Genomic DNA, 12,287 nt, shown 5'->3' with positions numbered 1-12,287 from the left:
CCTGAAATCCTCCCAGAAGAAGGGCCAGAGCCAGTCAGTGACAGCAGAGGTGTGACCCAGCCGTGCACGGCACCACCTGAATCTGGGGATGGGGAGAGCCTCTTTGCAAGGGGCAGGAGCACAGGCAGCCAGCCAGGCATGGGCCCACTGGGTACCGAGTAACAGAGGGCCAAGGGCCGAGGTAGCAGAGGGCCGAGGGTCAAGGCAGCACAGCCACGTGAGAGAGTCAGGCAGGAGGCAGCTGAGAAGAGCTCAAGGCCCCACCCTTGCTCGCTGCAGATCAGCCTCCATCCGCACAGCAAGGGCTGGGAAGCCCTGCATGCTTGGTCCAGCCCTGAGATGCTGTAACTGGGACAGTTACGGGAGACAGGAAATAGAGGGACCACAGCCGGGTTGGGGGCCTGCAGCAGGGGCCCACTCCTTCCTTAAACCAGGCTTAGGCTCCGCCAGCACAGCTGGTGGTTTGGCAAGAACGCAGAATCTGCCAGCCACCAGGGGGCAGAGGCCTGCCCCAGCCGCGAACCCCTCTCATCACCCACACCTGGCAGAGACGTGGCCCTGGCCACAGCTACGTTTGCCTCCGGGAGGCCATTCTGCCGCCCTCCCCACTGGGAGCACCCACGCACAGGTCCTGCCCATGGAAGGAATGCAGGAGCAAAAATTGGTCCAGGGACGCAACCAGCTTCCTGCCCCACTCCAGCCCGCAGGGCACCCCCTGAGCCTCAAACTTGTGGATAGACAGCCGTCCCCAGCCCTGCACCGGTGTCACCCTAACCTTAAAAATGTTGAGAATGCCAATGGATTTTCTGAAGACCTCTGACCTCACGAAGTCCTCCAGCTGGGCCAGCGTGTCCTCGAGGTGGGAGATGGCACAGATCCCGAAGCAGCAGGCGAGGCCCTGGGGGGCAGCACACTTACCCCGGGCAGGGAAGAGCACGCACTGCCACACATGCACGCACACTGTCACGTGTGGACACGGGCACACCCACATGTACACACATGCGCACACTTGCACACACATCAACACATGCACACACCCTCTCTGCATATACGCACACCACCTGTGTATGCACACACGCACACACAGGCACACAGGCTAGCCAGCTGCCTCAGAGAACAGCAGGTGCCACCGTCCTCCAGCCCTGGGGTGTCTGGGGCTTCTGCAGGGAAAGCGGCCCCACCTCGCGTTCTGCCTCCTCCTGGTATCTGGCCGTCTCCAGCAGCTCTTGAAGGTGCTTCCTCACCACCTCCTTACTTGAAGCAGCACCCAGGGTGGTGCCTATGCATTTGTACAGGAAGTTCTGAAACAAAACCAGAGAACACGGCTCTGCCTGACTCCTGAGTACAGGGAGACCCAGCGCTGCCATGGGGCTGCCCCTGGGGTGCACCTCCTGCCCACAAGCTGATGAGAACTGCAGGGTGAGTCTGGGGCAACATCTGAGGAATAAGCGGTGGGGCCGGTGGGCTCTCGCACTCCTGGCCCTCAGCCACCACAAGGAGGCTCTGCCAGGCCACCAGGGCCACGGGAGACAGGGCCCAGACAGCAAGTGACAGACACGAGACCCAGAAACTCGGAGCCCAAGTACCACACCAAGAACGCCAGCAGGTGCCCCACCTTCTCCTGGGGTGCCTCATCGTAGCAGGGCAGCTGCCTGCACAGCTCCAGGCTCAGCTGGCAGATCCACGCGTTGTCAGAAATGATGGCCAGGGTGTCTCGCAGGAACTGCAGGCCAAGATGCCACTGAGGGGCTGGGAGCCCGACCCCTCACAGGGCTGGCTGGAGCCTGGGCACATCCCCATGTGCTGTGGCTGCAGGGGCTGCAGACCGCCTTCCAGCGGAGGCCGGGGGCGGCAGAGCCAACCCTCAGGGGACAGCCATGCCACAGTTGGCTCACCAGGCAGGGTGAGAGGTTGCCCCCGACGCTTGGGGCTGCGACTGCTAGAGGGCCGGTGCCTTGTCACAGCAAGGCCCCCGCTGCAAGGCTGCTGGGGTCTTCAGCCTTGATGCTGCCTGATCCTTGGCTCCCCAGCCAAACCACGAGGTGAGGTCGAGGCAGGTGGCCCAGCCTCTGCCACCCCAGCACCCCCCAGGCCAGACAACACCTTAAGGCCCAGGATGGGCCGTACCCCGGCCCTCACCATCAACAGCTTCTCCTCCCACTCCTCCTGTGGCAGGGTCTCTTCTGTGTGCTCTGAAACGACAGCCGCGCAGGCCAGCCCATCCCAAAACGCACCAGTGGGGCTCAGAGCCCAGCACCTGCCCTGGAGCTGGGGATGCTCAGCACAGACAGGCCCCGCCGCCCCGCTGCCCCCCACCTGCTCCCAGGAAGCACCCAGCGGGAGTGCCTTTCAAGCCCCAGGTCATCTGGGGCCTTTCTTGGACAACAGGGGAGACTGTATTTTCCAATTATACAACCCTAGTCCCCATTGGCCACCCTAGTGCCACTTGGCAAAGGTGGGGTCAGAGCTAGCACCCTCCTACTCTGAGACCTGCCCTCCCCACAGGGCTATGCACCCCATCCTGACCCTGGCCTCACCATCCAGGTACCCCAGCAGCAGCGGGACAGTCGTTTCCCAATGCTGACCCAGCAAAGGGTGAATGTTTGGGTGCAGAACACTGAGGAGGCGCAGCGCCGCTGCCCCACGTCCGTCCCCTAGGTAGGGGCTGGAAGACACAACCTGAAAAGAGGCAGCGTGGGAGCCGGGTCTGAGCAGGGAGCACTGGTCATGCCCACAACCTGCACCTGCAGGACCACATCACCCGACGGGGAGCCTGGCTCTTCCCAAAGCTGGGCCGCCCACGTAGAGGAAAACCACACCTGAGCCCTGACCGCGGCTGCCCACTGAGAAGGTAACCCCTTCCAAGCCTGGGTGGAGCACAGGGACACAGAGTGGGGCGCTGGGCACGCTGTGAAAGGGCGAGGCTCACCAACAGTCTTCCGGTTACAGCATAGGGAGACGGGAGGCTCGCTGGAGATGAGAGGTGGAAATAGTCAGTGGGGGGCTGCCTGTAGCCCTGGGGCGGGTGTCAGGAACTGGAGGATGGGGAAGTGGGGGCAGGAGTGGGGAAGTGGGGGCAGGAGTGGGGAGGTGGGGTACGGCGCGGCACGCACCATGGGCGTCGTACTGGATGAGGAAGGCGTCGGCCCCGGCCTCCTGCCTCTTCTGCGCCAGATGCACGAGGCTCCTGCAGAGCGGAGTCAGGGCCCCAGTGAAGCGCACAGGGGTGAGGAACTGGAGCAGGTATGGCCAGAGGACCTAGGGGAGCAGAGGGCCTGGTCTGCATCCGCCCAGAGGGCGGTCCCATGCAGACAGGGCCCTGCCGGAGCTCCAAGGTGGAGACAGACCCTTTGCTGGGCCTGAGCACCCTGGGCCACTGCCCTGGAGAGCTCTGTTGTCGCCAGGCAGGGACGGGTGCCGTGCACTCACGTGACTCATCCTGTCCACGGTGGTGCTGACCAGGTAGAGGGTGCGCACGCTGATGGCCCGCACGCTGTCGGCCTTGGGGTCCTTGCTGCCGGGGCCTGGCTTCTCAGGCTGGAGGAAGGCAAAAGGCAAAGGCGTGCGTGGGCGGCCATGGCTCTGGGCCTGAGGACACAGCCTGCCCGGAAGCGGGGCAGACCCTGAGCCTCGCCGCAGGTCACGCAGACATGTGCACCACCTGCCACAGACAGGAAAGGCACTCTCCGCTAAGATCACCCAAGAAAGCAGGCTTACCTGCCTCAGTTCTCATCTTCAAAACAAACAAAACCTTGAGCATTTGCTAAGCTACTGACTCCATAAAAAATCACTGCTCGTGAGGTTGCAATGCCTGCAGGGGAGGAACAGGATAGCCTCTGTGGGAACGTTACCCATGTCAGAAAACCTGGTTCCCACCAGGACGCCACCCAGCCTCGGCAGCCACGGTGGGCTGGATGTCTGCTGTCCTCTCTGTACGCTCAGCTCCCCAGAAGGCGTCCCTGTAAGCAGACGACTTCTGTTTCCCACACGTTCCATTCAGGTTTTGAAATACCAAAAAGTAAAAGCTCAACCACAAAGCGGCATATTTGGAAAAATGGCAACACTGCAGGGACTTCTAATCCCTCTCTTTCAGAAGCTGAAAGTCACACAGAAAAAAAAAAAAAAACAGTGATATTTAGGCCTTGAACTTCAATTTTTACAGTAGGCACTAAAAATATAGATAGAACTTCATACCAAACATACACTTTGAAATCCTGACCATTAGGCCAAAAATAATATTGCAACCAACACTTAAAAGCAGAAATCAACCTGGCCAGATTCAATATAACAATAAATCCACAACACCCATGAAAACCTATCGACCTGGAGATTTTAAAGATCATAAAAGAATCATTTGCGTTAATAAAGAAACCAAATAGAAACTGCAAAATACCTGATAACGAACAGTGAGGACATACTCCACCAGAAACACGAACGTTAGGACACAGACTGGGGACAATGCCTGTGCGAAAAAATGCACCAAAAGTACCGCAACAGGGAAACAAGGAACCACAACGGGGAAATGAGGAGCCAAGAACAAGGAAAATCCCAGCGACAGGGTGTGAAAAAGTATAACCGTGAAATAAAGAATTCAATTCAGGAAACGAATAATGTAACGATTCACTGAGGAAGAAATTACTAACTTGGAAGAACAGGCTGCCGAAGACTTCAAGGAAGAAGAAATTTAAAAAGAATGGAAGAAGAAAAAGCTAAAAGATGTGAAGACAGCAGTGCTAGCCTTCGGATAACAGATACACCAAAGTCAGTGAGACACAAAAACAGGGGCAAGAAATACTCAAGAAATAAAGGAGCGAGCTTCCCAGAAACAAGAGACCAATAGCTCATGGAAGGGTCCGCAGAGCAGAGGCACGGGCAGCCCCAGGTGAGCTGGGACACCGTCCTGCGCCAGAAAGGGCAACAGGGCCTCAGGACAGGGGCCTGCGCGCTCGAAGGGTGCTACCGACCAAGTGTGGGACAGTTTGAACACCAAGGCCAGCAACAGGGACTGCGCATGGACCCCTGCGTCAAACAGCAAACCACGAGTCCATGCGGAGAGAGATGCATGCACATAAGAATAGGAGAGGCTCTGGCCAGGCGTGGTGGCTCATGCCTATAATCCCAGCACTTTCGGAGGCCGAGTTGAGCGGATCACAAGGTCAGGAGATCGAGACCATCCTGGCCAACACGGTGAAACCCCGTCTCTACTAAAAATACAAAAAATTAGCCGGGCGTGGTGGCGGGCGCCTGTAGTCCCAGCTACTCGGGAGGCTGAGGCAGAAGAACGGCGTGAACCTGGCAGGCGGAGCTTGCAGTGAGTCGAGATTACCCCACTGCACTCCAGCCTGGGCGACAGAGCGAGACTCCATCTCAAAAAAAAAAAAAAAAAAAAAAAAAAAGGAATAGGAGAGGCTCTGTCACAACAGAGGCCAAAGAACTAAGTACAGCAATATCACTGGAGTTAGAAAACCATCCATAGATAATTAAAAACAATTGATGTTGACTAAGTGTTTATTTACTTATTTTATTTTGTTTTATTTTATTTTATTTTTTGAGATGGAGTCTCGCTCTGTCACCCAGGCTGGAGTGCAGTGGGGTGATCTCAGCTCACTGCAACCTCTGCCTCCCGGGTTCAAGCAATTCTCCTCCCTCAGCCTCCCGAGTAGCTGAGATTACAGGCGCCCACCACCATACCTGGCTAAATTTTTTGTATTTTTAGTAGAGATGGGGTTTCACCATGTTGGCCAGGCTGGTCTTGAACTCCCGACTTCAAGTGATCCACCCACCTCGGCCTCCCAAAGTGCTGGGATTACAGGCGTGAGCCACCGCACCCGGCCTGATGCTGACTAAATGTTTAATCACAAGAAGATGTTTACTTAATCCCAAAGATCTCCCTACAAACTACTTATTTATTACAAGGCAGAAACAGCAACTTTCCAGTGCAGAAACCGAGCATAGACAAGTGATCAGAACTAACAAGATCAACACTGAAACAAACCAACACTAGGACCCCCGATATGATACACTGGTGGGGACATGCACGATTCCATGAGATTCCTCCCAAAACTGCATCACCTGGATCAAATCATGAGAAAACACCACCATACCTGAGCTATTCAACAAAATAACTGGTCTCAATTCTTTGAAAGTATCCAGGTCAACAAACACAAGGGCAGGAGGCTAACAGGGCACAGCAGCCACATAATGTATGTGTCTGGGCTGTACCCTATACCAGAAAGCAGCTAAAGGGACAGAACTGGGATGACCGAGGAAGTGCATGGATCAGGTGACATTATGGTCTCCATGTAGAATTTCCTGATTCCAACATCTGGACTATGGTTGTGTAGAACAATGTCCTTATTCTTAGGAAATAAACAAGATATTTAGTAGTCAGTGATAAAGGGACACGATGTCTCAATTTTCTCCCAAATGAGTTGGAAAAAAATTGTGCATGTATGTACCTATATGTGTGTGTACAGATTACAAATATCATACAAAGGCATAAGAAAAGCATATACCATGATCTCTTACATAGACATGAAAATCCTCAACAAAATACCAGCAAACTGAACACAACAATGTATAAAAACGATTATACACCATGACCAAGTGGGATTTATCCCAGGAATGCAGGTTTAACATCTGAAAATCACTTAATGAAATGCACCATATCACTAAAATAAAGAACAAAAACGACAAGCTCATCTTAGACACAGTAAACAGCACATCAAATCTAGTACTTCTTCATAACAAAACCGTTCAGCAAAGCAGGACTAGAAGGTGGTACCTGTGACCTGATGAAGCCCCACAGCAGGAATCATACCTGATGGTACCGGCCTAAATGCTTCTACACAAAGAGAAGGAACAAGACAAGGCTGTCTGCTCGCACCGATTTTATTCAACAGTATTGGACGTTCTAGCTGGGACAGCTAAGCAAGGAAATTAAATAAAACGCATCCAGACTGAAAAAAAAGAAGTAAAACTATAGTTGTAGATGACACAATCCTTATAGAAATCCTAAGAAATCCAATAAAAACTATTAAAATAAGCAAGTTCAACAAGGTTGCAGTATACAAGATCGATATGAAAGAATAATTGTAGGCCAGGCACAGTGGCTTATGCCTGTAATCCTTGCACTTTGGGAGGCCAAGATGGGCAGACTGCCTGAGCTCAGGAGTTTGAGACCAGCCTGGCCAACATGGTGAAACCCTGTCTCTACTAAAATACAAAAACAAATCAGCTGGGCATGGTGGCGCACGCCTGTAATCCCAGCTACGCGGGAGGCTGAGGCATGAGAACTGCTTGAACCTGGGAGGCGGAGGTCACAGTGAGCCGAGAGGGTGCCATTGCACTGCAGCCTGGGCAACAAAGTGAAACTCTGTCTCAAAAAAAAAAAAAAAAAAAGAAAGAAAAAGGATAATTGTTTTTCTATACAGTAGCAAATAATAAACTGAAAATGAAATTAAGAAAATAATTCCGACTAGGTGCAGTGGCTCACACCTGTGGTCCCAGCACTTAAGGAGGCCAAGGTGGGTAGATGGCTTGAGGTCAGGAGTTCAAGACCAGCCTGGCCAACATGGTGAAACCCCATTTTTACCAAAAAAAAAAAAAATTAGCCAGACATGGTGGTGGGCGCCTGTAATCCCAGCTACTCAGGAGACTAAGGCAGGAGAATTGCTTGAACTCAGGAAGTGGAGACTGCAGTGAGCCGAGACTGTGCCACTGCACTCCAGCCTGGGAGACAGAGCAAGACTCTTTTTGAAAAAAAAAAAAAAAAAAAAAAAAAAAAAAAAAAAACGAAAAAGAAAGAAAATAATTCCATTTACAATAGCATCAAAAAGAGTAAAATATTTATGAATAAATCTAACGAAAAACGTGCAAAACGTATACTATGAAAACTACAAAATGTTAAAATAAAGACCTAAATAATAGAAATACATCCCATGTTCATAGATACAAAGATTTTGATATTGTTAAAATGGAACTACAGCCGGGCGCGGTGGCTCACGCCTTAATTCCAGCACTTTGGGAGGCCGAGGCCGGCGGATCACGAGGTCAGGAGATCGAGACCGTCCTGGCTAACACGGTGAAACCCCGTCTCTACTAAAAATACAAAAAATTAGCGGGGCGTGGTTGCAGGCGCCTGTAGTCCCAGCTGCTCGGGAGGCTGAGGCAGGAGAATGGCGTGAACCCGGGAGGCAGAGCTTGCAGTGAGCCGAGATCGCGCCACTGCACTCCAGCCTGGGCGACAGAGCAAGACTCCGTCTCAAAAATAAATGCATAAATAAAAAGATGGAACTACTCCCCAAACATATACAGATTCAGTGCAATCCCTATAAAAATTCCGGATGACTTCTGTGCAAGAATTGACAAGCGGATGCTAAAATAAATTCACATGGGAATTCAAGGGACCCAAAATAGCCAAATGATCTTGAAAAAGAACAAAGTTGGAGAACTTGTATTTCCCAATTTCAGAATTTGCTACAAAGCAACAATGTTCACAGCAGCATTATTCACAGGAGCCAGAAGGTGGCAGCACCCCGAGTGTCCATGAAGGGACAAGTGGGATAAGCACTTCGCCATCTCCACACAGGGAATATTGAGCCCTGAAGGAGTGAAATTCTGGCAGCGCCACACCATGGGAGAACATTCAGGACCTTATGCTGAGTGGGAGAAGCCAGACACAAAAGGACAAACGCTGTTTACGTCCACTTACACGAAGTGCCTCGAGCAGTGAAATTCGTAGAGAGAGAAGGTGGATGGTGGGTGCAGGAGCTGCGGGAGAGAGAAGGTGGATGGTGGGGTGCAGGAGCTGCGGGAGAGAGAAGGTGGATGGTGGGGTGCAGGAGCTGCGGGGGAGAGAAGGTGGATGGTGGGTGCAGGAGCTGCGGGGGAGGGAAGGTGGATGGTGGGTGCAGGAGCTGCGGGGGAGGGAAGGTTGATGGTGGGTGCAGGAGCTGCGGGGGAGGGAATGGGAGTTAGCATTTAATGAGGACAGAGTTTCTGTTTGGGAACATGGACAAGCTCTGGAGCTGGAAGGTGGTGATGGCTCCACAACAATGTGAATGAGCTTAAAGTCGCTGAAGTGTGCACTTAAAATGGGTTGAGACAGTCAAGTTTATGATATTTTACCATCATAAAAATGTTTTACTGAAAAAGCAATCATGGCCAGGTGCTGTGGCTCTTGCTTGTAATCCCAGCCCTTTGGGAGGCCAAGGCAGAAAGACTTCTTGAGCCCAGGAGCTCTAGACTGGCCTGGGCAACACAGAGAGACCCCATCCCTACAAAAACAGAACTTAATATTAGCCAGGTGTGGTGGTGCCCACCTGTGGTCCCAGCTACTTGGGAGACTGAGGCAGGAGGACTGCTTGAGCCTGCGAGGTTGAGGCTGCAGTAAGCCATGATTGCATCACTATACTCCAACCTGGGTAACAAAGCAAGACCCTGTCTCATAAAATAAATAAATAAATAAATAAATAAATAAATAAATAAATAAATAAATAGGCCAGGTGCGGTGGCTCACGCCTGTAATCCCAGCACTTTGGGAGGCCGAGGTGGGCAGATCACGAGGTCAGGAGATCGAGACCATCCTAGCTAACACGGTGAAAACCCATCTCTACTGAAAATACAAAAAATTAGCCAAGCGTGGCGGTGTGCGCATGTAGTCCCAGCTACTCAGGAGGCTGAGGCAGGAGAATGGCATGAACCCGGGAGGCGGAGGTTGCCGTGAGCTGAGATTGCGCCACTGCACTCCAGCCCGGGGGACAGAGCAAGACTCTGTCTCAAAAATAAATAAATAAATAAATAAATAAATAAATAAACAAACAAACAAAGCACTCAATCTAATCTACCATACTAACAGTCAAAAGAAGATAAAATACATAATTTCACCAATAGATGCACAAAAATGTTTCAATTTTGACATCAATCCATAAAATCCATAATAAAGTCTCAGAAAACTAGAAATAGAAAGGAATTTCTTCAAGCTCATAAAGGGCATCAATGAAAACCTATTACAGGTGGGAGCAAAAACAGTGCCTCTCATGGAGACAGAGAGTAGGCTGGTGGTTACCAGAGGCCGGGAAGGGTAGAAGGTGGGGGTATGAAGAGAGGCTGATTAATGGGTACAAATATATATTCAGAAAAAAGACCTAGTATCCTATAGATCAGTAGGGTGACTATAGTTTACCCTACTATAGATTATGGATTATAGTATAATCTATTGTACATTTCCAAATCGCTAGAAAGGAATAATTAGAATGCTTCTAGCATAAAGAAAGAACCAACATGCAAGGTGGTGGCTATCCCAGTTACCTGGATTTGATCTCTACACATAATATGAATGTATTAAGTTATCACAGGTACCCCGAGTATATGTACATCTATCATGTGTCAATAAAAACAAGCAAGCAAGCCCATTTCGGGCGTGACGTTGTTTCACTGGGCTTCGCTTTACTGTACGTCACAGGGGCTGCATTTTAACCAAGTGGAAGGTCTGGGGCAGCCCTGTGTCCAGTGAGTCTACGGGCGCCTTTTTCAACAGCCTGTGCTTGGTGTGTGTCTCTGTGTCACATTTTGCTCATTCTTGGAATATTTCAAACTGTTTCATTAATATTATATCTGTGATGGTGATTTGTGATTAGAGATCTCTGATGTTACTATAATTGTTTTGGGGTGCTATGAACTGCAGTATATAAAACTGCAAGCTTAATCAACGAATGTTGGGTGTCCTGACCCACTGGCCAGCCACTCCCCACCTCTCGCCCTCTGCTAGGGTCTCCCTGCTCCCTGAAAGACAACAATAATGAAATTAGTCCAATTAAAACCCTACAATCACCTCTATGTGTTCATGTGAGAGGAAGAGCCGCACACCTCTCACTTTAAATCAGAGGCCAGAGTGCCTCTGCCCGGCCGCCCCTACTGGGAAGTGAGGAGCCCCTCTGCCCGGCCACCACCCCGTCTGGGAGGTGTGCCCAACAGCTCATTGAGAACGGGCCATGATGACAATGGCGGCTTTGTGGAATAGAAAGGCGGGAAAGGTGGGGAAAAGATTGAGAAATCGGATGGTTGCCGTGTCTGTGTAGAAAGAAGTAGACATGGGAGACTTTTCATTTTGTTCTGTACTAAGAAAACTTCTTCTGCCTTGGGATCCTGTTGATCTGTGACCTTACCCCCAACCCTGTGCTCTCTGAAACATGTGCTGTGTCCACTCAGGGTTAAATGGATTAAGGGCGGTGCAAGATGTGCTTTGTTAAACAGATGCTTGAAGGCAGCATGCTCGTTAAGAGTCATCACCACTCCCTAATCTCAAGTACCCAGGGACACAAACACTGCGGAAGGCCGCAGGGTCCTCTGCCTAGGAAAACCAGAGACCTTTGTTCACTTGTTTATCTGCTGACCTTCCCTCCACTATTGTCCTGTGACCCTGCCAAATCCCCCTCTGCGAGAAACACCCAAGAATGATCAATTAAAAAAAAAAAAAAAAAAAAAAAAGAAAACCTTTTAGTGAAGAAAAATCCAGGACCTGATGTCTTCACTGGTGAATTCTACCAAAGAATTCTTCTTAAAGAAGAATTAATGCCAATCCTTCTCAAACTCCTCCAAAAAATTAAAGAGGAGGGAACACCTTCTAACTAACTTTACCAAGTCAGCATTACCCTGATACTAAAGCTGGAAAAAGACATCACAAGAAAAAAATTATAAGCCAAGATGAACAATGATGTAAAAATCCTCAATAAAATACTAGCAAGCCATATTCAACAGCATATTAAAAGATCATTAAAAAAAAAAAAAGCCAGAAATGATTAAGCTTAGTGAGGAAGGCATGTCAAAAGCTGACACAGGCTAAAGGCCAGACCTCTTGTGCTAGTCAGCCATGTTGTGAATACAAAGGAAAAGCTCTTGAAGGAAATTAAAAGTGTTACTCCAGTGAACACACGAATGATAAGAAAACAAAACAGCCTTATTGCTGACACTGAGAAAGTCTGAATGGTCTGCATAGGGAATCAGACCGGCCAAACATTCCCTTAAGCCGAAGCCTAATCCAGAGCAACTCTTTTCAACTCTGTGAAGGCTGAGAGCAGAGAGGAAGCTGCAAAAGAAAAGCTGGAAGCTGGCAGAGGTTGGTTCATGAGGGTTAAGGAAAGAAGCCATCTCCATAACAAAAATACCAAGGTGCAGCAGAAATTGCTGATGGAGAAACCGCAACAAGTTGTCCAGGAGATTAGCAAAGAGCATTATTATTATTATTATTATTATTTTTGAGACAGAGTGTAGCTCTGTCGCCCAGG

General features: G+C 50.3%; 1 protein-coding gene across 41 annotated transcripts in view; it reads right to left on the bottom strand.

The window, feature by feature from the left end:
• MROH1 (maestro heat like repeat family member 1) overlaps positions 1–12,287 on the bottom strand; it is a 113,911-nt gene that overhangs the window by 19,634 nt on the left and 81,990 nt on the right. For all 41 annotated transcript variants that reach the window (XM_047422170.1, NM_032450.3, XM_047422189.1 and 38 more), the window contains 8 exons: positions 3,430–3,537; positions 3,114–3,258; positions 2,930–2,970; positions 2,538–2,679; positions 2,140–2,192; positions 1,616–1,723; positions 1,182–1,301; positions 776–898 (listed from right to left, as the gene is read on the bottom strand). In XM_047422170.1, the coding sequence (XP_047278126.1) occupies positions 776–898; positions 1,182–1,301; positions 1,616–1,723; positions 2,140–2,192; positions 2,538–2,679; positions 2,930–2,970; positions 3,114–3,258; positions 3,430–3,537 (840 nt within the window). The remainder of the gene's footprint in view (positions 1–775; positions 899–1,181; positions 1,302–1,615; positions 1,724–2,139; positions 2,193–2,537; positions 2,680–2,929; positions 2,971–3,113; positions 3,259–3,429; positions 3,538–12,287) is intronic.

The sequence above is a fragment of the Homo sapiens genome, chromosome 8, assembly GCF_000001405.40.
Source record: "Homo sapiens chromosome 8, GRCh38.p14 Primary Assembly".
Lineage (NCBI taxonomy): Eukaryota > Metazoa > Chordata > Mammalia > Primates > Hominidae > Homo > Homo sapiens.
Note: the sequence above shows the minus strand (reverse complement) of the source record. Positions and strands in the feature narration are given on the sequence as shown.